Source organism: Homo sapiens, chromosome 1 (assembly GCF_000001405.40).
Source record: "Homo sapiens chromosome 1, GRCh38.p14 Primary Assembly".
Taxonomy (NCBI): domain Eukaryota; kingdom Metazoa; phylum Chordata; class Mammalia; order Primates; family Hominidae; genus Homo; species Homo sapiens.
In genome coordinates this window covers 240,353,749-240,377,845 of record NC_000001.11, presented here as the reverse complement: position 1 = coordinate 240,377,845, position 24,097 = coordinate 240,353,749, and the positions used below count along the sequence as shown (strand labels likewise).

The 24,097-nt window shown below is 37.4% G+C and overlaps 1 protein-coding gene across 5 annotated transcripts in view; it reads right to left on the bottom strand.

Annotated features, from left to right (window-relative positions):
* Positions 1–24,097, bottom strand: part of FMN2 (formin 2) — a 383,305-nt gene that overhangs the window by 97,342 nt on the left and 261,866 nt on the right. For 4 of the 5 annotated variants that reach the window (NM_001305424.2, NM_020066.5, XM_017001841.3 and 1 more), the window contains one exon: positions 21,938–22,030. The exons of the other annotated variant lie outside the window; for it this stretch is intronic. In NM_001305424.2, the coding sequence (NP_001292353.1) occupies positions 21,938–22,030 (93 nt within the window). The remainder of the gene's footprint in view (positions 1–21,937; positions 22,031–24,097) is intronic. 5 annotated transcript variants of the gene reach the window in all.

Here is a 24,097-nt window from a genome sequence, read left to right as displayed (position 1 = left end):
CCCAGCTGTAAATATATTACATGGGAATATAATATAATAAATTAAGGGGGAATTAAATTGCATATGGAATTAAGGTTGCTAATCAGCTGACCTTAAGATGAGAAGCTCATCTTGTATTATACCTCGTTGTCCCAGTGCAATCACTGGGTCCTTGTAAGTGAAAGAGAAAGGTAGGAGAGTTAGCGACAGAGTGATACATCACAAGAAAACCTCAACCAGCCATGGCTAGCTTGGAAGATAGCTAGAAGCCATAAACCAAGGAATGTGGGCAGCTTCTAGAGTCTAAAAAAAGGCAAAGAAATGTATCCCCTAGATACTCCAGAAGGAACACAGCACTGCTAATATAATTTTTGTCCATTTTGAGTTTCTGACCTGAAGAAATTACAAATTTATTATTTGTATTGTTTTAAGCTATGAAGTTTGTGGTAATTTGTTACAGCACTAACGGAAAACTAATATAGATTCCTTGTCAGAAACTATGCAAACACAAGACAAAAGAACAATATCTTAACTGCAGAAAGAAAAAAAAAAAACCTGTTAACTGAGAATTCTACATTCTGTAAGAATATCTCTCAAAAATGGGAAATAAATAATTTCAAGAAAGCAATGGCTAAATAAATTTTCCACCTGTAAATCTACATAATGAGAAATGTTAAGGAAGTTATTCAGGTAGAATAAAAATGATACCTAATGAAAAGCTGGATCTATGCAAATGAGTGAAATAAACTGGAAATGCTAATTATGAGGATGAATATAAAATACAATTTTGTCATTTAAAATTTTTTTAAGATAATGACTTAAATGCAAGTAGGAGCAATATATTGTTTTGGTTATAACATATGTAGATGTAAAATATATGACAACAATAGCACAAACAACAGAAGGGAGAATGACAGTATACTGTTGTAGAGTTCTGACATCACCTGTGAAGTTGTGTAATACTATTTGAAGATAGACTGTGATAAATTAAAGGGGCACACCACTAGAGTGACCACTGAAAATATTAAACAAAGATGTATAACATATAAGCCAATGGTGGAAATAAGATGAAATATAGTTGTCCCTCAATATCCATGGGAGACTAGTTCATCTATGGTATCCCACAGATACCAAAATCCATGGATGCTAAAGTCCCTTATATAAAATGATGCAGTATTTGCATATAACCTACACACATCCTCATATATACTTTAAATTATCTCTGTAATAATGTAAATATCATGTAATATAATATAAATACTATGTAAACAGTTGTTATGCTGTATTGTTTGGAGAAGAATGACAAGAAAATAAGTCTATACACATTCTATAGGTACGAACATCCCTTTTTTGTTGAAGTTTTTTGATCTGCAGTTGACTGAATCCACACATGCAGAACCCACAGATATGAAGGGCCGATTATATTAAAAAATACTAATTAATAAGAAAAAAGGGAAAGAAAAAAAGAAGGAAAACAATAGATGAAACAAATAGTAGACAAATATAAAGATCATAAATTAAACTCAACTCTATCATTACTACATTAAATGTAAATGTTCTAAATGTCCCCAATTAAAAGCCAGAGATTGTTTGGCAGGATAAGAAAAATAAGACTCAACTTTATGCTCTCTAGGAAAAGAAATTCACTTAAAATATAAATACACAATTAGGTTTAAAGTAAAAGATAAAAGGGTATATTATGTAAACACTAGCCATAATAAAGCTGAAGTAGCTGTATTAAAAATAGGCAAATCAGACCTCAGAACAAGATATAGTACCAGGAAAAAAGGAGAATCAATACATAATGATAAAGGGATCAATTCAAAAAGAAGATATAACAATTCTACCTATGTTTGCCTCCAAAAAAGTATTATGAACTTCAAAATACATAATGCAAAAACTAAGAAAAATAAAATGAAAGAAAGACAAAATTCCCCAACTGACAAAACAGAAAGAAAAAATAGACAATCAAAAGTTGTAACTAGAGATTACAGCCTTCTTACTAACTGATAAATAAATTAGAAAGAAAATCAGTAAAGACATATTAAACAACACTGTCAAAGCAATGGAGACATTTATACAATACCCTGAAAACCTGACAGGTCACCCTTGCAGCTGGGGAATGAACTGCAGGGAATGGAGGCTGGAGACAGACATATCAATTGAGAAACTATTATGATAATGTGGATAGAAAGTAGAAAGCCATGTGAGAGACAATCTAGAGTTAAGAATGCCTCTGAAGTTTCATGCCGGGAAATGGATGGGAATAGGAAAGTTCAAAAGGGTAAATATTTCATTTGATGGTTAGAGCAACAAATATTCCTAAATGCATTGCTTTATTAATAAAAACACTTCCATGAATTGTATGAGATCCATTAGGTATGCCTTCTAACCATCTTCTGTGTTGCAGCTATAACATCTCATTGCAGGTATACCTGCTTTTATTGTGCTTTGCTTTACTGTGCTTTGTAGGTATTAATTTTTGTTTTATTTTTATTTTTTATTTTTTACATATTGAAGATCGGCAGCAACTGTAGTCGAATGACTATTGGCACCATTTTTACAACATCATGTGCTCACTTTGTGTCATATCACTTTGGTAATTCTCGCCGTATTTCAAACTTTCCCATTATTATCTTGTCTGTTATGGTGATCTGTGATCAGTGATCTTTGATGTATTTATTAAAATTGTTCTGGGGCACCACAAACTATGCCCACATAAGATGGCAAACAATCAATAAATACTGTTCGTGTTCTCACTTCTCCACCAAAAGGCTGTTTATCATCTCTTTTCCTCTTCTCAGCCTCCATATTCCCTGAGACACAACAGTGTCGAAATTAGGCCAATTAATAACCCTACAATGTTGAAATTAGGCCAATTAATAACCATACAGTTAATAACCCTACAATTAAAAACTGTACAGGCCTCTAAGTGCTCAGGTGAAAAAAGAGTTACAAATCAAAAGTCAGAAATAATTAAGCTTAGTGACTTAGGCATGTCCAAAGTGGAGAGAGAATGAAAGCTAGTTCTCTTGCGTGAGACAGACAAGTTGTTAATGCAAAGGAAAAGTTATTAAGGGAAATTTAAAGTGCTACTTCAGTGAAGAAATGAAGGACAAGAAAGCAAAAACAACATTATTGCTGATGGAAAAATTTTTAGTGGTCCGATTAGATCATACTAGCCACAACATTCTCTTAAGCCAATGCCTCATCCAGAGCAAGGCCCTAGTTCTCTTCAATTGTATGAAGACTAAGAGAGGCGAGGAAGCTATAGAAGAAAAGTTTGAAGCCAATAGAGGTCAGTTCATGAAATTTAAAGAAAGAATCTGTCTCCATAGCATAAAAGTGCAAGGTGAAGTACCAAGTGCTGATGGAGAAGCTGCGGCAAGTTATCCAGAAGATCTAGATAAGATAATCGACGAAGGTGGCTACACTACAACAGATTTTCAGTGTAGATAAAACAAGAAGCAGATGCCATCTAGGAGTTTCATAGCTAGAGAGAAGTCAATGCCTGCTTCAAAACTTCAAAGGACAGGCTGAATTTCTTTGTAGGGGCTAATGCAGCTGGTGACTTTCAGTTGAAGTGAGTGCTGATTGATCATTTCAAAAATCCTGCAGCCTATAAGAATTATGCTAAATCTACTATGCCTGTGATCTATAAATGGAAGAACAAAGCCTGGATGACAGCACATCTGCTTACAGCATGGTTTATTGAGTGTTTTAGGCCCACTGCTGAGACCTACTACTCAGAAAAAAAGATTCTTTTCAAAATATTACAGCACATTGACCATGAACCTGGTCACCCAAAAGCTCTGATGGAGATGTTTTTAATACAAGGAGATTCATTTTGCTTTCATGCCTGCTAATACAACATCTATTTAGATCAAGGGGTCATTTTAACTTTGAAGTCTTACTATTTAAGAAATATATTTGGTAAGGCTATAGCTGCTGTAGGTAGTGATTGATTCCTCTGGTGGATCCAAGCAAAATCAATTGAAAACTATCTAAAAGGATTCATCATTCTAGATGCCATTAAGAACATTCTTGACTCATGAGAAGGGTTCAAAATATCAACATTAACAGAAGTTTGGAAGAAGTGAGTTCCAAACCTCACAGATGACTTGCAGGGGCTCAAGTCTTCCGCAGAGGAAAGAACTGAAGAAATGGTGGAAACAGCAAGAAAACTAGAATGAGAAGTGGAGCCTGAGGATGTGACCAAATCGCAGCAAATCGCTCATGATGAAATTTGAACGGATGAGGAGTTGCTTCTTATGAATGACCAAAGGAAGTCATTTCTTGAGATGGAGTCTATTCCTGTTAAAGATGCTGTGAACATTGTTGAAATGACAAGAAAAGATTTAGAAAGTCAAATTTAGTTGATAAAGCAGCAGCAGGGTTTGAGAGGACTGATTCAAATTTTGAAAGAAGTTCTACTGTGGGTAAAATACTACCAAATAGCATCTCATGCTATATAGAAATATTTAGTGAAAGAAGAATCAATTGATTCAGCACACTTCATTTTTGACTTATTTTCAGAAACTGCCACAGCTACCCCAATATTCAGCAACCACCACCCTGACCTGTCAGCGAGCAGCTGTCAACATGGAAGCAAGACCCTCCACCAGAAAAAAGATCACAACTTGCTGAAGGCTAAGATGATTGTTAGCAATTATTTATTTATTTGAGATGGACTCTTGCTCTGTCGCCCAGGCTGGAGTGCAGTGGTGAGATCTCGGCTCACTGCAAACTCCACCTCCTGGGTTCAAGCGATTCTCCTGCCTCAGCCTCCTGAGTAGCTGGGATTACAGGTGTGCACCACCACGCGCGCTACTTTTTGTGTTTTTAGTAGAGGTGAGGTTTCACCGTGTTGGTCAGGCTGGTCTCGTATACCTGACCTCATGATTTGTCCGCCTCAGCCTCCCAGAGTGCTGGGATTACAGGCATGAGCCACGGCGCCCAGCCGATTGTTAGCATTTTTAAATATATTTTAAATTAAGGTATGTACGTAGTTTTTAAATGTATAATGCTACTGCACACTTAATAGAGTACAGTATAGCATAAATGTAACTGTTATATGCACTGGGAACCCCCAAAATGCATGTGACTTGCTTTATTGCTTTACTGTGGTGGTCTGGAACCAATATTGCTTTACTGTGGTGGTCTGTAATATCTCCCAGGGATGCCTGTATACAAGCTTTCAAAACAGCCTTAAAAAAAAAAAAAAAAAGAAATTCTTCCTCCAAAAGTGATTTAGGTTTGGTTTTCCTTTAACATACAATAAATCTCTATAGATTTTATACCTATTTCTTACATATAAACATAGCATATATAATATATACAAAATATATAATATATTCCATCTATAAAAATATAAGCATAAACTTTATGAAGAAAAAAATAAGAAATCATTGGAGGAAAAATACTTGCTACTACTCAATTCTTCCCTATCATATTTCAGAAATCACTAATTACTCATGCTACTCTTTCAAACCCAAGAATTCAGGTAAGACCTAAGATTTATCCTCAAAACACACTTCCATTAAGCCAGTATCAATCTGTCAGATTTGGCACATGATATGAGACCATTTGCCATATGAGTTAGATGACTTTTCTCATAAGTTTTTGTTTTTTGAGATGGAGTCTCTCTCTGTTGCCCAGGCTAGAGTGCAATGACGTGATCTCGGCTTACTGAAACCTCTGCCTCCCAGGTTCAAGCAATTCTTCTACCTCAGCCTCCCAAGTAGCTGTGATTACAGGTGCCTACCACCATGCCCAGCTAATTTTTGTATTTTTAATACAGACGGGGTTTCACCACGTTGACCTGGCTGGTCTCAAACTCCTGACCTCAGGTGATCCACCCGCCTCGGCCTCCCAAAATGCTGGGATTACAGGCATGAGCCACCATGCCCAGCTGACCCTTCTCATAAGTTAACATGGTTTAGCAGTGTTTCACTTAGATTTTATTCATGCACAACAGAGAGCGGTAATTACACCAAAGCCCTCCACTGTGTGACACATCTGTCTCACAAGTGTTGCTTATCTTCAGAGGAGACTTAGGAAACCATAGACAACGTACAACAAACACACTCAACTCTTATTTCCCTAATGATCCAAATGCCCAAGTAACATGTAGTTAGAACATGTGTCAAGCAGAAAATTAATAAACTGGCAGATTTTAGACATTAACCAGAAAATATCATAATTTTAAATGGTGCAATTTAATATGTTATGACGATTTACTTCTGAATCAACACGTTGGTATTTCTTAGGTAACTATACAAATGGACCCTTGGGTTTTATTATACCAGAATTGCTTTAACAAAAAAGGTTTAAAATTTTAAAAGTGCTAGTCTTGAACTCAGTTTCTGGCTGACTTTTCTTCAAAAAAAACTGGAAGATTCACGTCAGTCACTAAAGAATGTAATTGAGGTTCAGCTACAAGAACACAACCATTTATTTGGTCAGGATTCTTCTTCATGGCAGAGCATATCCAAGTACCCAGAACCTAAGGAAGGAAAGCTTAGACTTAACCATGAAAAAATATGCAATTAATTTTGTATTATCTAACATGAAGGGCAAATAAGGTATATTTTAAAAATACATTTCAGGTCAGGCGCAGTGGCTCATGACTGTAATCTCAACACTTTGGGAGGCCAAGGTGGGGGTATCACTTGAGGCCAGGAGTTCAAGACCAGCTTGGCCAATATGGTGAAACCTCGTCTCTACCAAAAAAAAACCAAAAAACAAAAAATAAAAAAAAATCAGCTGGGCATGGTGGCATGTGCCTGTAATCCCAGCTACTCAGGAGGCTGAGGCAGGAGAATTGCCTGAACCCAGGAGGCGGAGGTTGCAGTGAGTTGAGATCCCGCCACTGTATTCCAGCCTGGGCAATAGAGCAAGGACTCCTTCTCCCAAAAATAAATAAACACACATTTTTGATATTTTACATAGTTTAAAATATATTAGCTCTATATTTTAAACATAAATTTTAATGAGTAGTCGCACACTTTAATAATTTATTATACTAACATTATTCAATCTTTTCCAGAAGACTGAAGGTTACTATCAGGTTATTGGTGATTATACGGTAACAGAATGGCGGTGATGAGGAAAAGTGAGACCTGTTAGGAAACGGTCAGCCTAAGGAAAAAAAGTGATAATTTGGGTCTGAGATAGGTTGATGCAATGGGATTAGAGTGGAGTGGACACATGTGAGCAAAGCCACAGGACTTAACAACGATGAGGTAAGGAAAGCAAGGATGGCAAGGGTATGGGAGAAAAGGAGGCATCAAGAATAAGGCTAATACTGCTTTTGACCCAGCAGCTCAACATTTCGGGCTGTACAGTACCAAATGTGAATTGTGAGACATACACACATGTTTTTACCATAATCTTTTGCTTTTGAAAACAATGTTTTAGAAAAAAGGTGGGTAAGTAGAGAAATGAGCAAGTAAGTTTGGGTGCATTTTTATAGTGAAATACTATGAAGTCATTAAGAAGAACGTACTAATGTAAAATTATTTAAATATATTTTCATTGAAAAAAACAAGATAGACTTCTAATTTCAACAAGACTATAGATATCAAAAAGTTTCAGAACAAAGAACACAAAAAAGCTGGGGTAAAGTAATATTGAATGCATGGCTGAGTTGGATAGAAAATAAGGAAAATTCTCTGAGGCCATAAAAACAAACAGGAGCAGGATTCCAAAGAGGTGCAAGCCAGAACTTCCTCAGGACATCGCTAAACCTAGCAACCTAGAACTTTAGTTTTTAAGGCCATATGGGAAATTTTTGAACAGGCCTCAAATCGTCCGACATAACCACAGAGACATCTTAAAAGAAGAAATTGAAAAGAATCACCCCACTAAATCAGGCATTAAGGAAATGCATCCACCTCACCAGTAGCTTTGGGGGAAGGGGAAACTCTCTCACATAGGAATCCCTTACCCATCATGGGCAACCACACTGCATTAGGCCCCAAACGCCCAATGTGTGATCCTAACATGCAAGGCAAGGATTTATTTTAAAATAGTTTGGGTTGGTAGTGCCTCCTGATGATTAGCCAAAACAAACATATGGAGAAACAGAAAAACATAAAAGATCCTGAGGGAAAATTTAGATTAGAAACAAAGAAGCAAAAATTGGACCCGAGTAGAGTTGTCAATGCAACAAGGGAATAGAGAAAGCAGAGGCCTCCAGGCGGCTGAAAGGAATTTACTTTGAACCTAGAATTTTATAATTAGCAAATCTATTGCTAAAAAACAGGCTTGATATAAAGATATGTTCACACAGACAAAAACAGAATTTACAATCCGGAGTTCACACCAAAGCAACTTTTCAAGGGTGTACTTGAGAAAGAAGAAAAATAATCTTAGAAGGCGGCATAATATGAAGGAATAGTGAGCCAAGACAATGGTATTGGTTAAATGTAAACCAAAAATGAATACATAAAATAATAATTCTATATTTTAGGGGTAACAGACAATATAAAATGAAACTAAAACACTGGAAAGGAATGGCATTCAAATGGTAAGATTAGCATTAAAACATGCTAAGAATTTGTTTAGAGGGAAGTAAAAACAGCAACTTTAGACTTTGCTAAATAATTGTGTTAACAGAAAAATATTGCTTGATCTCACTTATATGTGAAATCTCAACTAAAAACAAAACCAAAAAACTTGCATGCCTAGAAACAAAGAGTAGAAAAGGCAGGAGGTGGAGGGAAGTGGGGAGATGGAGGTGAAAGTGTACAAAATCGCAGCTATGTAGCATAAATATGTCCAGAGATCTGTCTATTCAGCAGTACACAGGGTGCGTGCGCGTGCACACACGGTACCTATGTGAAATGATAAAATATGTTAATTTGCTTGACGAATAATTTTACTCTGTGTTTATATATATATATATATAAACATTGTGTTGTACACTTTAAATATACACAATAAAAAGAACTGTGTCAATATATCCAAGATAGGCACTAAAAGAATAAAGATACAGAATATCACTTGAAAAGTAGTAGAGGGGAAAATTAAATGATATGAAAACCTCCAATCAATTTGTGTTAATTTGTTTACAAAGATGGCCAAAATATTTATTTGTATTCCTCTAATTATGCCCCTTTGTGAAATGACATTTCTACTCTTTCTGTCCATATTATACTAAAGGTACAACACAGTGCAAAATGACCAGAAAAAAGGAAGAAAAAAGAAACTACATAGCAAATAAATACATACATACATAAAACTGTCATTATTCGCAGTGATATCGCCAGAGAAATTTTTTAATATCTCAAATTGTTAAATTAATAAGAGGGCTTAACAAGTTTGTAAGATGTAAGCTATTTGAATTTTACATATCTTCAAAATAGAGTAAATGCAGTTTACAAAATACAAACAAAAATGAGGTCTTTAGAAATATTTGTACAAAAACATATGGAAATCTTAATGAAATTTTAAACTTTTTGGGCAGATATTAAAGGAAACATAAATAAACACTAGTCTGTACCATGTTCATAGATAGAAAGCCTTGATATCATAAAGATGTCAGTTCTACCCAGTCTGATCTATAGCCTGTGTAATTGTGTCAGAATCCTAATAGTTTTGTTTTGGTGGAACTTAACAACTTAATTCTTAAATTATATAGCAGAATAAACTACCAAGAGGAGGCATAAATCTAAAGAAGGTAGGAATCTAGCCTTTTCACATTTCAAGACTTATTAGAAGTCTACAGTAAATAGAATAGTAACAGGTTTTGTTATAAGGATAAATAATGGAAATAGGCTAATGGAATAGTATAGAGAAAACCCAAGAAAGCCTCATACATATATGGAAAGTTCCTACATGATAGAAATGGTACAGCATATTAGAGAGAAAACGGCTTATTCCTTACATGGCACTAAACAACTAAAACAGCATTATCCATATGACGTAAAATTAAATGTGATTCCTATTGCAGATCATAGATAAAAATGAATTTCAAATAGACTGAAGGATTAAATGTGAAAGCAAAACTATAAAATTTTCTTGGGAAAATAAAGGACATTATCTTTACCAACTTAGAGAAGGGAAGGATTTCTTTTTTTTTTTTTTTTTTTTTTTTGAGACTGAGTCTCGCTCTGTCACCCAGGCTAGAGTGCAGTGGCGTGATCTCGGCTCACTGCAACCTCTGCCTCCCAGGTTCACGCCATTCTTTTGCCTCAGCCTCCCGAGTAGCTGGGACTACAGGAGCCCACCACCACTCCCGGCTTATTTTTTATATTTTTAGTAGAGATGGGGTTTCACCGTGTTAGCCAGGATGGTCTCGATCTCCTGACCTCGTGATCCACCCACCTTGGCCTCCAAAGTGCTGGGATTACAGGCGTGAGCCACTGCCCCCCGCCGGATTTCTTAAATAAGGCAAAAAAATTATGCACCATCAAGAAAAAGGTTGATAGATATCACTACATAGAAATAAAGAACTTTTAAAATCAATAGTCAGCAAAAGAAAAATGAAAAGACAAGCTCCAAAGTGGGAGCAGGGCTTGGGAAAATTTATCTGACCACATTTTAATGTCCTCAATATATAAAGATGTCCTAATAACTCAATAAGTAAAAGACAAGTCATTAAAAAACAGCCAAAAGACTCACAATGGCATTACAGAGAAAAGGAAACAACTATAAATGTGTGAAAACACATGATTTCTCAAAAATAATCAGGAAAATGCAAGTGAAAACCTCAACGAAATACCACTTTAAAGAGTCAATTGGGTCAAAAACAACTAAAAAAAATAAAATCAAAGAACTCGGTGCTGGTAAGGATTTAACACAATTGGAACTCTGCCGATAGAAGTGCAGATGAGAACTAATCATTTTTAAAAACACTTTGACTTTACCTCCGAGGCAGAAGATTCACTTGTCCCACACCTCAGCAAACCTCCTAGGTTTGCAACACAAAAAGGGAGTATGGATGTGGATCAGGAATTGTGAACACAAATGTTCATATAAGTATTGTCCATAATCAATAAAACAGGGATAGAGGGCCGGGCGCGGTGGCTCACGCCTGTAATCCCAGCTCTTTGGGAGGTCGAGGCGGGCAGATCACCTGAGGTGGGGAGTTTGAGACCAGCCTGACCAACGTGGAGAAACCCCCCCTCTACTAAAAATGCAAAATTAGCCAGGTGTGGTGACTCATGCCTGTAATCCCAGCTACTTGGAAGGCTGAACTTGGAAGGCTGAGGCAGAGGAATCGCTTTAAACAGAGGCGGAGGTTGCGGTGAGCCGAGATCGTGCCATTGTACTCCAACCTGGGCAACAAGAGCGAAACTCCATCTCAAATTTAAAAAAAAAAAAAAGGATAGAATAGGATAGACAATCTGTGCTATTATAGTCCTACAATAGAATAAAAATTAATGAAATAGAACCACATGCAAAAACATGAAAGAATTTCAAAAACCACGTTCAGTGGAGAAAAAACTAAGTTGCAGCAGGGTATGCTTATATTTCCAGTCACACAAAGTTCCTAAAATTGTAAACAATACGTTGGTTATGATTTACATTTTTGGCAAAACTATAAAGAATAAACATCGGAATGATAAATAGAAAATTCAGGATAGTGGTTGTTTCTGAAGGGGACACAGGTATAAGATTGGAGAAAGATAAATGGAAGAGCTGACTGACCGGTATTGATCATGTTCTATTCTGTGAGCTGGGTGTATATGGCTATTGGGATACATCTTTATACCTCATTTAGGTTATAAGATATGCATATAGATCTATAATATAACCTTATTTTTGTTATATAAACTAGCATGTTTCCAGCTGAGGTTTTGCAAGGTAACACTCTGCCTTCTTGTTTCAGCTCTTACACTGTGAAAAGTGCCCTTGTCACCATCTATTTTGTGCCACATTTTCCACATCTTTATGGGATTTTTGGTAATTTCACTGTTTTAAATGGCCCCCAAGCAGAGTGCTCAGTTGTTAGCTAGTGTTCCTATGTGCAAGATGGCTGTGATATACCTTATGGAGAAAATACATGTGTTAAGTAAAGTTCATTAAGGCATGAGTAACAGTGTTGCCAGCCATGAGTTCAACATTAATGAATGAACAATGTATATTATTAGCTAAGGTGTCATTAAACATAAACACACATAAGACAAAGTTATGAGTGAATTAGTTGACAAGAATATGACCACAGGCTTGCAGGCACCTAAACTTGTATTTCCCCATAGAAGAATAGTTCCATATTCACTAATTCAGTGTTCGCAGTGACTCTATAAAACCTAACTATAGAAAATGAGGAGAATTGGCTGTCTCACATAAATAGTGTATGAATAATAAAATGTTTTATTTTTGTGTTCAACATAAAATGAATATAGTACAAAATTTTATGTTGTATGTATGTGTGTATCTAAAACATATACACTTGCATATAGTTATCTCTATATAGAAAATATAAAACAAAGAAATATAAAATATTTCATAATGGAAATGAAAAGGCAAAAGGCAGAAAGACATATAGAGCATGTAACCACTAGTAAAAACTATATAAATACAAATGTGTGTGTGTGTATATATATGTGTGTCTGTGTGTATATATATACACACACATATGTATGTATATATATGCACACGTATGTATGTATGTATATGTGTATATATATGTGTGTCTGTGTGTATATATATACACACACATATGTATGTATATATATGCACACGTATGTATGTATGTATATGTGTATATATCTATATCTATATATGCACATACATGCTTATCCATGCAAATTATCTCTGGAAGGCTAGAAATGAAATACAACATTGGTTAAAGTAGAGAACAGTAATAGTGAGAAGACTTACATTCCATTATGGTCCTGTATTTTATAATAGATACATGCATTATTTAAACATTCCCAGCACTCATTCATAGAGAAATGAAGAATGAGGCCAAGCTTTCTGTCTTAGACAATCACATGGGTGGTAGCACTACTTACAGTGTTAGAGAACACAAGCGGAGCAGAAGAACTGAGATGCTTGTGTTGAATTGACAGTCATTCCTTCATTCATTCATCTGTGAAGTAAATGTTTATTGGGAGTCTGCGACGTACTAGGTGCTGAAGACACAGCATGGAACACATTATGGAGATATTTAGTGTGAGGTGCCAGTGGGAGCATCCGACTGGAAATATGCAGGAGGCGGTGGTTAGGGACTCCCATATGGAATCGATTCCCTGTCACTCCTCAGAGGCTCTTTGATCAAGTCTCATCTACGGTTGTGGAATGAATGATTGTGGCTGCTGGAAATCTAACCCTCAGAGAGAAGTGGTGATATAAACTATTTTTGTTTCCAGAAGAATCACTTCAAATTCATGCTTCTCAAATGTTAAGAGTGGCAAGAAAGGTACCTTTAAAATGGAATCATCATTTGTCACTACAAGAGAGGAAAGAGTTTTGTCCGTCTGGTTCACGGTGTCCGCATGAATGTTGCACTAATACAAAAGCGTATTCATTTTGCAGTCCAGTTATTGGTGACTTTTGAGTTTAATTGATTATCTTACATGGGATTTCATCTGTATTTATGGTTTCTACCACCTGACACCACAAAACGGCCCTATCTGGGTCTCTTACTATATTACAATGATTTTTAAATTAAAATACTGCTCCAGCCTCCTTTAAAAGATCTTGGTTCCAGCCTGACTTTGCCATCTATTGTATTTCAGTCAAGCAATGAGCCCTCTGAGAATTTGTTTCCTCATCGTAAAATGAGGATAATAATGGCTGCTCAGACTGACCTAAAGAGTCACGAAAGTAAAATTGCCTGGAGTATAAATGGCTTTGCTTCATTCTTCAGCACAGCAGAAATAGCATTAAGGTTTAATAATTGTTATCCTATGACCTTTTTTTTCCCACTAGTGCACCAGAAATTTACTGAACCCCCCACTTTCCCCTAAAGCACAATTACCCACACAAAGTGGCAGAGGCAGGGAAGTCTCCCAGGCTTGCTCCTGCAGCCTGAGCCAGCATGACCAGCATGGGGACACCTGAGCCATCAGGCAGGAAGCAGGCTGGGGGGCAGAGGGGACAAAGGGGTTGGGGACAAGGTAGTACAAGGGCAGTGGCTTCTGGCTGGAAGTTCTGAACCCCTAGTATAAAGGGAGGGGAGAAACAGAGTTGGGGACGTGTAGAGCTGGCAGGACCTTGAGAGCTTCACAGGCAGGTGGGGGAGGACATACAGAATGAAAAGAGGGTAAAACCAGCCCTTAGGATGCAGCCTCTGTCCTGGGTCTCAGGGAACATTTGCACATGCATGCACACGCACGCACACGAGACAAGATGCTCCTGCTGCAAGGGGCAGGGTCCCAGAGACCTGCCCTCATTCAAGCTTAAAACTGGGAGGGGCCAAGCAAGGGCTTGGACGAAGTCCCATGATTTACCAGCAGGGCAAGTGTTTTGGTTTTTCTCTCCAAAAGGGAAATTTAAAAATCTACAGAAAATCACACCAAATTCATTAAAATTTAAAAATCTACAACAAATCACACCAAATTCACAATGGTAAAAAGCGGTTTGCTTAAAAGACAATTTGCTTCTTTTTCAACATTAAATGGTCAATGAAGGGAGATTACACCAAAAAATCAAACATACCTGTTTTCATTACTGGAAAAAGTGTCTTTATCATATTTTCAGAAAAACACAGAAGTACAACATGAAACATGCTCACCCTGCATAAAGAATATTCCTTTCTGAGAAAGATATTCTCTTCTACTAGGCTCTTCAGTCTTTGGCACAGTCAACAGCCACTGCTTTCAGCATCTCTTTGTTCTCAAGTATAGCATTACCAATACTACAGACTGTATATTTAAGAGCTGAGGTTTCATCATTCTTTTAATTATAAGCATGTGATTACAGATTTATGCATTTTCATTTTGGTTCTATTCCCCTAGTTCAGCCACAATTTACTATGCTTAAAGAAGAAATGTTTGGGAAAAGCGGGGAGGCGGGTAGAAGTATGAAGAGCAAGGTCAGTGAAAAATCCCATTAGCTATTTTTGATTTATAAAATCATGGTAGGGACTTTATGTAAAAGCATGGAGAGAGCCCCCACTCCTTTTTTTAAAGAAATTGCCATTCATCCAAAAAAACAGTTGAGCTTAAGTTTTAAAATACACACTTATCAAAATGTACCATATGACTAAGGGAGCACTGAAGGCCAACAAAGGAGAACCAGGCTTGTATTTCTCTCCCAGTGACTTCAACATGAGCAGATCCATATATAAAGGTCATCCATTCCACCTAAGGTTCTTTATAGTTCAGCGATAATATGTTTTTTGTGTGTATACTTTGTCCAAACTACAAATTAGATTCAAAAATAAAGAGAGAGAAAAAAGGAAGGAGTGTACTGAGTTCTGAGAGATATATTAGGAAAACATGAGTCCCCAGTGATCACATTTATCTCATCTTTCTATATCCCACATTTTCTGCTATTAAAAAAATAGAAAATTTAACACCAAATTGTAAATAAATGCTGAATGACCATCTGGAGATTAAGAATTAGTTGTCTTCATCTCACATGCACAAAAACAAAACCATCACATATGTTGGTTTTGCGACAGAAAAATCCTATGTCACATATGGTTTCTTGTCACATATGTGACAGAAAATAGAGATAAGCTAAGTTATAGTAACTCTGATTCAAGAGTTCAGTCCAACACGTATGCATCAGTTACAGTTGTCCCGCAATAAGAGCTGTGCACACTAGTTCTTCACTTCTATGTTAAAAGCTCAGAAAATCAGCGTCTGCTTATGCCAATCCCAGAAACATGTTCCGTCCACTGACCCCCACCTTCATATCCACAAGCCTAGCTGTTGTTCAGTCCTCATTTACCCAGTCCATTTGAACATGTGCTGCTATGAGTATTCGCATTTGCCCTTTTCTGAAACTCTTCCCAATTCTGGCTTCCGTAACAAATTCATCTGCCAATTTTCTTCCTATCTACCTGACTACTAACACCTGGTTTTCCTCTGTCCATCCTAAAAATGCTATTCTCCTCCAGAATACTATCCCTGGATCTAATTTTTCTTAACCTCCTAGGTGACCACATCCATGCAAGAATCACCTTGCTTATGATGTCCAATCCTCAATCTCAGATCTCTATGCCAAGTTCAGCTCATATACCCACATGTCCACTGGGCATGCCCACTTGCGTGTTTACATATGGGTAACCATGCCAACCATTCAAATCTTTCCGTCTATGCATATTCTCTATCTCAGTGATTAGTACCCCCACTCACCCAGATACTCAAACCTAAAATCTAGACACCTATCCATCATCTCCTCGTCCATTTGGTTCTGTCTTATTATTATCCCTCACAGCTATTCTGTCTTCAGTACCATCACTGCTATTCTCTCTTCAGCACCATCCCCACTTCCTTAGTCCAAGGCTTTCTCATTTCTTTACCAGCGTACCATAACGATCTTATAAGTGGTCTCCTGCTTCCAAGTCCAATCTGCCTCCACCGATCCCTTGATCACTGGGAAACTGTTGCTCCCCAAGAGCAACTTCTGCTCCCCAAGACTTCTGGATGAAGCCTAAGTCCCTCAGCCAGGAATACACGTTCGGCCTCATCACATGCTACTCCCTCCCACGACGCAACTACCAATTTGCTTGTGTCCATTTCTTCGTGTCGTGTTTTTTTCCTTCTTTAAACTCTTTTATATATATATATATATATATATATATATATATATATATATATACACATATATTTATTTATTATTATTATACTTTAAGTTCTAGGGTACATGTGCACAATGTGCAGGTTTGTTACATATGTATACATGTGCCATGTTGGTGTGCTGCACCCATTAACTTGTCATTTACATAAGGTATATCTCCTAATGCTATCCCTCCCCCCTCTCCCGACCCCACAACAGGCCCTGGTGTGTGATGTTCCCCTTCCTGTGTCCAAGAGTTCTCATTGTTCAATTTCCACCTATGAGTGAGAACATGCAGTGTTTGGTTTTTTGTCCTTGCGATAGTTTGCTGAGAATGATGGTTTCCAGCTTCATCCACGTCCCTACGAAGAACATGAACTCATCCTTTTTTATGGCTGCATAGTATTCCATGGTGTATATGTGCCACATTTTCTTAATCCAGTCTATCATTGTTGGACATTTGGGTTGGTTCCAAGTCTTTACTATTGTGAATAGTGCCGCAATAAACATACGTAAACTCTCTCACCCCCCAATCATTCCTCTAATAATCAAGTATTAACAGTCACTAAAAAGACTTGTCCTCGCCATAGGTGTATATTTAGCACCCTTCTTATGGTTTCACACTCTGTAAGATAGAGTACATCTGAGTGCTGTTGAAGGAATCAAGCCCAGAAGGAAAACGTACAACTGAAGTTGAGAGAGAAGGGGAGGTAACTCTAGGAGTGGATTCCTGGATAAAAATAGAAGTATCAGGTCCAGAGCATGTGGGTAAAGATCTGCCTTTAATGAGAGCAGGGTTTTCCTTCTCTTGCAGTGAAAGATGCACAGAAAATACAGATTCAGATGCTGTTGGTTTGCAGATGTGATGGTGGGTAAGTGTGGGAGCTTCTGTATAATCATGTAACTGTTTCTCATCGAGGTATAAGGTGAGGTTATCATTAGAGTCATCGGTAAATGGAACAGGAAGATTGCAAAGGTTTGAGAAGGGATGATATAAACAAATCTCAGAAATAGAGAAAGCTAAATTTGCAAGGGAAATCTAGTAACATTGTTGAGGAAAAAAACTGAGTTGTCAGTGGGTTTATGAATTTAACGTGATACTAGTCGGTGTCCTTTTAAGGACCTTCCTGCATACAAAAATGATCAGCTGCTCAATATTGTGGTGCAAATATGGAGAAAGCAAAGAGATGAGCTTAACAAGGGTTGCTAGACCTATGCCTGGTGAGCAAGACAGTGTATGCTATACTGTGCATTGTTCTAGGTACAGGGGTACGGCAAGAAGCAAAGCAAAACTGCCTTCTTAATGAAGCTTATACTATTGATGGACAAATAAATGATGCAGTTGCAGACAGTGATAAGTGTTATGAAGAATATAAAGCCAGGTGGCCGTCAGAACAATTTTTGAGTGAGTATATTCTCAATTCTCTCAAGGAGGGTACATATCTAGCACCTTTACAAACAATGAATGCCTTATGACAGTAGGGCTAAATTCTCTAAATCTGCCTATTTTAGGGCAGAGGTGAGAGATGTTCCCAGTGAGGAGGTGTTTAAACATAGACCATGAAATCTTGGCTTCAGTAGAACTAGGAAGATAGGGAGGGAAAATTGAATGGGTTGCAGGGCTAGATGAATTCCGTAAGACTCTTAGAGTGTGGACCACAGACCACACAATAGCTGAATTACAGGGATAAGAGATGTTTCTATTATACAGAGGGAGCTAATGCAATAAAGACATTTGGGCAGTGTTGGGCATAGCTTCTTGAATTGTTCAAGAGATTTTATATTTTGAGGATGAGGCACATTAAAAAAGACCTTGCTTGTATATACAAAAATATAATCATACCCATATAAATGAATCTAAGCACAGAGGCTGATGTAAGAATACTATTATTGATGAAAGCCTAATTATAAGCAAAGATTTGGCATTTATTTGTGCTAAGATGGCATTTTCTTTAGTTTATAATTTTAATTTTAGAATCATGTCCTGATAAACTAGAAGAAACATGGGGGCAAAGGAATTGGCTATCTTCTTAAAAATTTACCTTTATTTTAAATTTTTGAGACAGAGTCTTGCTCTGTTGCCCAGGCTGGAGTGCAGTGGCACAATCTCGGCTCACTGCAACCTCTGCCTCCCGGGTGCAAGTGATTCTCATGCCTCAGTCTCCTGAGTAGCTGGGATTACAGGTGTGCACCACCACACCCGGCTAACTTTTGTATTTTTAGTAGAGATGGGGTTTCAGGCTGGTCTCGAACTCCTGGCCTCATGTGACCTGCGCACCTCAGCCTCCCAAAGTGCCGGGATTATGGGAGTGAGCCACTGGGCCTGGCCTTAAAAATGTATTTTAAGGGAAATAATATGGCTAGGCTTTGTGTCCCCACCCAAATCTCATCTTGAACTGTAATCCCCATAATCCATGTGTCATGGGAGAGACGAGGTGGAGGTAATTGAATCATGGGGGCCATTTCTCCATGCCGTTCTTATGATAGGGAGTGAGTTCTCACGAGATCTAATGGTTTCATAAGGGGCTCTTCCCCCTTCCCTCAGCACTTCTCCTGCCTGCCACCTTGTAAAGAAGATGCCTTGCTTCCCCTTCGCCTTCTGCCATGATTGTAAGTTTCCTGAGGCCTCCCCAGACGTGCTGAAGTGTGAGTCAATTAAAGATCTTTTCTTTATAAATTACCCAGTCTCAGGCAATTCTTTATAGCAGTGTGAAAATGGACTAGAACAGGAAACATATTCGGAACTCCACTGTTTCCCTACATGTTCTTGAAAACAGCTTTGAGAGTGACTATGTTTAAAGTGAGACTTCTATTCTTTCATATTGTTGACACACTTGATCTACATACATTTGATGTACATAGGTTTTTTTCCAAAAAATTTTCTGTTGTTTATGTTGTTTTTATCACCTGTCTTCCAGGTAATGCAGAATGTAAGGTCCATTAAGACGCATACATTTTCTTATTCACTGCTGTAAGTCATACCCAACAGAATAGCTGGGCATACTGAAAGCATTAAAAGAATTTTTAAATGAACAAAGAAACAGAAAACTCGAACAGATGCAAAGAAGAAATAAAAAGGCAACTGAAAGTAGTGGAAGAGGTGCCATGAAGACTCATCATGTTTAACTTAATGGCAAAAAGGTGAAGCATTTCCTACTTCTAAGAATACAGTATATAGGTTAGTATCCTTACAACATTGTTTTCATTTAACATGGAGAAGTATTAAAAAAAAAGTTAATATCTGAGTTTCATAACAAGGAGGTTAAAAGATCTTCCTGGCTGGGCTCGGTGGCCCACGCCTGTAATCCCAGCACTTTGGGAGGCCGAAGAGGCTGGATCACAAGCTCAGGAGTTCAAGACCAGCCTGGCCAACAGAGTGAAAACCCGTCTCTACTAAAAATACAAAAAATTAGCCGGGCGTGGTGGCGGGTGCCTGTAATTGCAGCTACTCGGGAGGCTGAGGCAGGAGAATCACTTGAACCTGGGAGGTGGAGGTTGCAGCCAGCTGAGATCACACCACTGGACATCAGCCCGGTAACAGTGCGAGACTCCGTCTCAAAAAAAAAAAAAAAACCCGTAAGGTTGTTAAAATCTGAAGAGATACTTACTTACACAGTTAGTATGACTGGGCAATCCCGTCTTTCCTACCAGGGAACTACTAGACAAATCCTAAACACCTCTAACTGCCTTTCAAATCATTATAAATGACTACCAGAGATATCATATTCGGCTGATCATCTGTGTTTTGAAAGCACAATTCCTAAATTCCAAATGTGTTGCAAAACATAATTTCACTATTCAGTATGGAAAACACTAGTCTCAATGCCTGGTCTATAAATTGCAGATTCAAAATATTATATAATAAATCACATATAATGTGACCAAGAATAAGAGTGACATTTGTTTATATTTTGGATGTGAAATCCAGCAAATTGCTTGATTGCTTTTTTGAATAAATCCTCCTAGGATTAAGGATTCCTTTCTTCTTATAAGACAAAAATGAATATTCTATGCTTTTACCTATATTATTTCCTGTTACATTTTTAAAAAATGTGCTACATATTCTTGATTCCACAACCCCACTAGATGGAAAAAGCATGATTCACTTTTATTCACTACTAAGAGTGGGATGAGTTTACAATGTTCCCTAATATTTACTACAGGACTAATGATTTCGGTTAAGAATCAATGAGTAGATTTTCCACTCTAAGTTATGAAGACCTCAGAATTTGAAAATGACATTCAACGTGATTTATGAATTTCACCAGAGTTCTGTTTCAATCTTCACAATTATCTTAAATGATTAAATAGTATTTTCCCATCTTAAAAAAGCTGTGCCTAACATTTAATCAAATTGTAGTATGACTAATTCATTGTTAAATCATCATTAATGACACTTGAACAACCTATAACAAAATAAAGTATGGAGCCAATCTTCAGAGTGTTCTTGGCCTCAGTCTCAAGCCATGTCAGCCTCTAGGAGAATTCCTGAAACAGCAAGAACTTTCCCAGAGCATGGCATGATATAAATCTGATCTTTAGAAGAGATGGAACATTCCAAAGTTGAAATATTTTGAGTAGTAAATGCTTTGATATAATTATAAGTTTCAGTGATTTCAAACATCAAGACTTAATAGATGCTTTCTTTTCCTGTTAAATTTTTTTCTTTATTATCTTCTAAAATTTTCCATCCCTGCCTATCTCCTAGAAATGCAGGAAGAGTCCATGAGATAATATTTATAATGTTTTTAAGCTCCCTGGAAGACAGGTGTTGAATATCCAGAGGTATTGGCGTATCCCATTAAAAAAACTGCAAATAATGCTCTGAAGATCCGAACAACATCAATATAGTTTGTTCCCTGGGTACAATGTTTTGACAAGCCAAATAAATACCAGGTTGAAATGAGCTCATCAGTACAATTAAAATGTAAAATAATACTATCTAATTTTCTATCACAAAAAGCACAGAATTGTTAATGTCTTTTAAAAGATGAGCTATTTTAACTAATATCTAGTGTATATACTGTCATGCAAGCAAACAAACATTAATAATGAGCATTATCCACAAATAGCATGTTTATCAAATTGCTAGCCTCTTACAACCCTGTGACTCATAATTCAACTTAATCTGTTTTTCTGTAATGTCAAAATAAGCCCTTTTAAAGCAATATGTATTTTTTAAACAATGCCTTGTAGCTTTTTTTTTTTTTTTTTTTTTTTTTTTTTTTTTTTGCTGAAAGGGGAGAAAAACATAACACATCTCTTTGGAATTTACCTTGAATAATAAATTGTTCCATGTTTTCCTTGAAAGGCTGCATATGCTCTTTTGAGGAGACCTGGTATACTTTCCCTGCTTCAACTTCACAGGCTGAAATTAGACAGAACATTATTTAGAGTGTCACACTGTTAGTGGAGCATTAAGGCAATTTTGAAAACATCTTAGCTAATGTTAGAAAATTCTGTTAACTCCCCTAATCAGCATATGTTCTGCACACATTTTGGAAACATCCAAATACGGACATGAGAAGCCGATGATCAAGGCTTCCTTTTAGAGGGCTGTAAAAAGAAATTATGCAGAATTTATAATCTCAGTTTGATTATTCCCAAACCAATCAGTTGGGCATGTTATATAACCTCTAAATCTCAGTCTCTTCATCTGTAAAATGGGCATGATAGCAGAGCCTGCCTCACTGTGCAGTTATAAGGATCAGATCTGTGAAGAGACGTGAAGTGTTAGAATAATGCCCGGCACAGAGTAAAGCAATATGTAACTATTTTCTATCATCATCACCATCATCATCAGTATCAACTGACTTATAATAAAAGTTTATTCCTAAAGACCAGATTTCTGAAAAATAATAAATAATAACATGGGTGGTAATGTTAGTATAGCATCCAATAATTGTAGAGCATCTATTACATGTCAGATGCATTTTATCCATTATTTAACATAATCCTTAGAATGAAGCCCATAAAGTAGACTTATTACCTCCTTTTATAGCTGAGGAAGTTAAGGCTCAAATAAGGCACTAATTTGCCCAAGAGTCCACAGATAATATGCAGCAAATTCATAACTGAAATCCTGATCTAACACCAAAGTTTATCCTCTTTTCATGCCTGTGGCATCATAAATGTCTTAGGTAGTCTACAGATTCCATTTGGGTTAATATTGAGAAGTACCTCTAAGAAGATTCTGAAGAAATGTCTGCCATTTTGGTAATAGCAAGAAACCGGAGCCAGTAAGGAAGTAATTCAACAATGAAAAGTACATATTTAAACACAAAACTTTGGATAGAACACATCTGATGCAAAAAAAAACAACAACGACAACAACAAAAAAATCCCCAAAACCTCTCACTACAGTTCTTAAGGTAAGGTTGCCATTTCTCCCAGGAGACTTTGTCATTGCATTTCTAATATATTTTCTTTCTTTTATAAAGCTACAGTGTCCTCTTTTTTCCCTTCCAGGTCATTAGTTTATCTAAGCATGGGAATCTAGGAAGGCTGTATTATTAGTGCACATCCTTCCCAGCAAATGTGGATGACTTTGGGCTTAGTAAAATCTAAGATCAGCGTAGGCAGATCCAGGGTTCTCTCTGCCCGTCTGCTTCTCATCCCTCACCTGTGCCCAGGTAGCCTCTTGCAGGCTGGATGCTGGAGAATTTCTAACCTGTATCTATAGCCCATGTATTTCATAGCTCCAGACTCAACATATGAAACTTCCACCAGTACAGAATTCCTCACAGACTTCTCTAAACCTGCCACCTCCCTTATTCTCCCTTCATTGGTGGTGCCACCACCTGACCTACATAACTTGAGCCAAAACAGGAGACTTATTCTCAACCCCCTCTCTTTATTCCAACATCCTGTTGTTTTTGCCTCCATTCTTCAGTTGGCCCTATCCTCTCCATTCCTGTTCTATGCTGGTACAAATGCCTTCATTTTTCCTACTGAGGCTACTGTGAAAACCTCTTACCCTTGGCTTCTCATCTCCAGTCTTCCACAGATCCATGCTCCTCCTCACAGCCTTAAAAAGCCATCCAGAAGAGACCCAACCGCTTAACCTGAAACTGTTCAGTGACCTCTGCCCTCTCAGCTACACCCTGAATACAGGAAGAATTGCAAAGCCTACACCATGATTTGTAGCACTCGCTACAATGTAGACCTTGCCAACTTTTAAACCATCCATCTCCCTCTAGTCCTGATATCTTCTGCAGACTCAATGCAAATGTTAATCTCCAGATGTAACTGCCCCTGAACAGCATTCCCTGACCTCCCCACAGGGCCTGCTTTTCTCCATTCCCTGCCACTTGTCTCCAAGCAGGATGAGGCGTCCTTCTTTGGTGATTCCAGGGCATCTTGTGCATACAGAGTTAAGGCTGTCATGTACTGAGTACTTTTTATGTGCCAGGGAGCACATTAAGCATGTTACCTG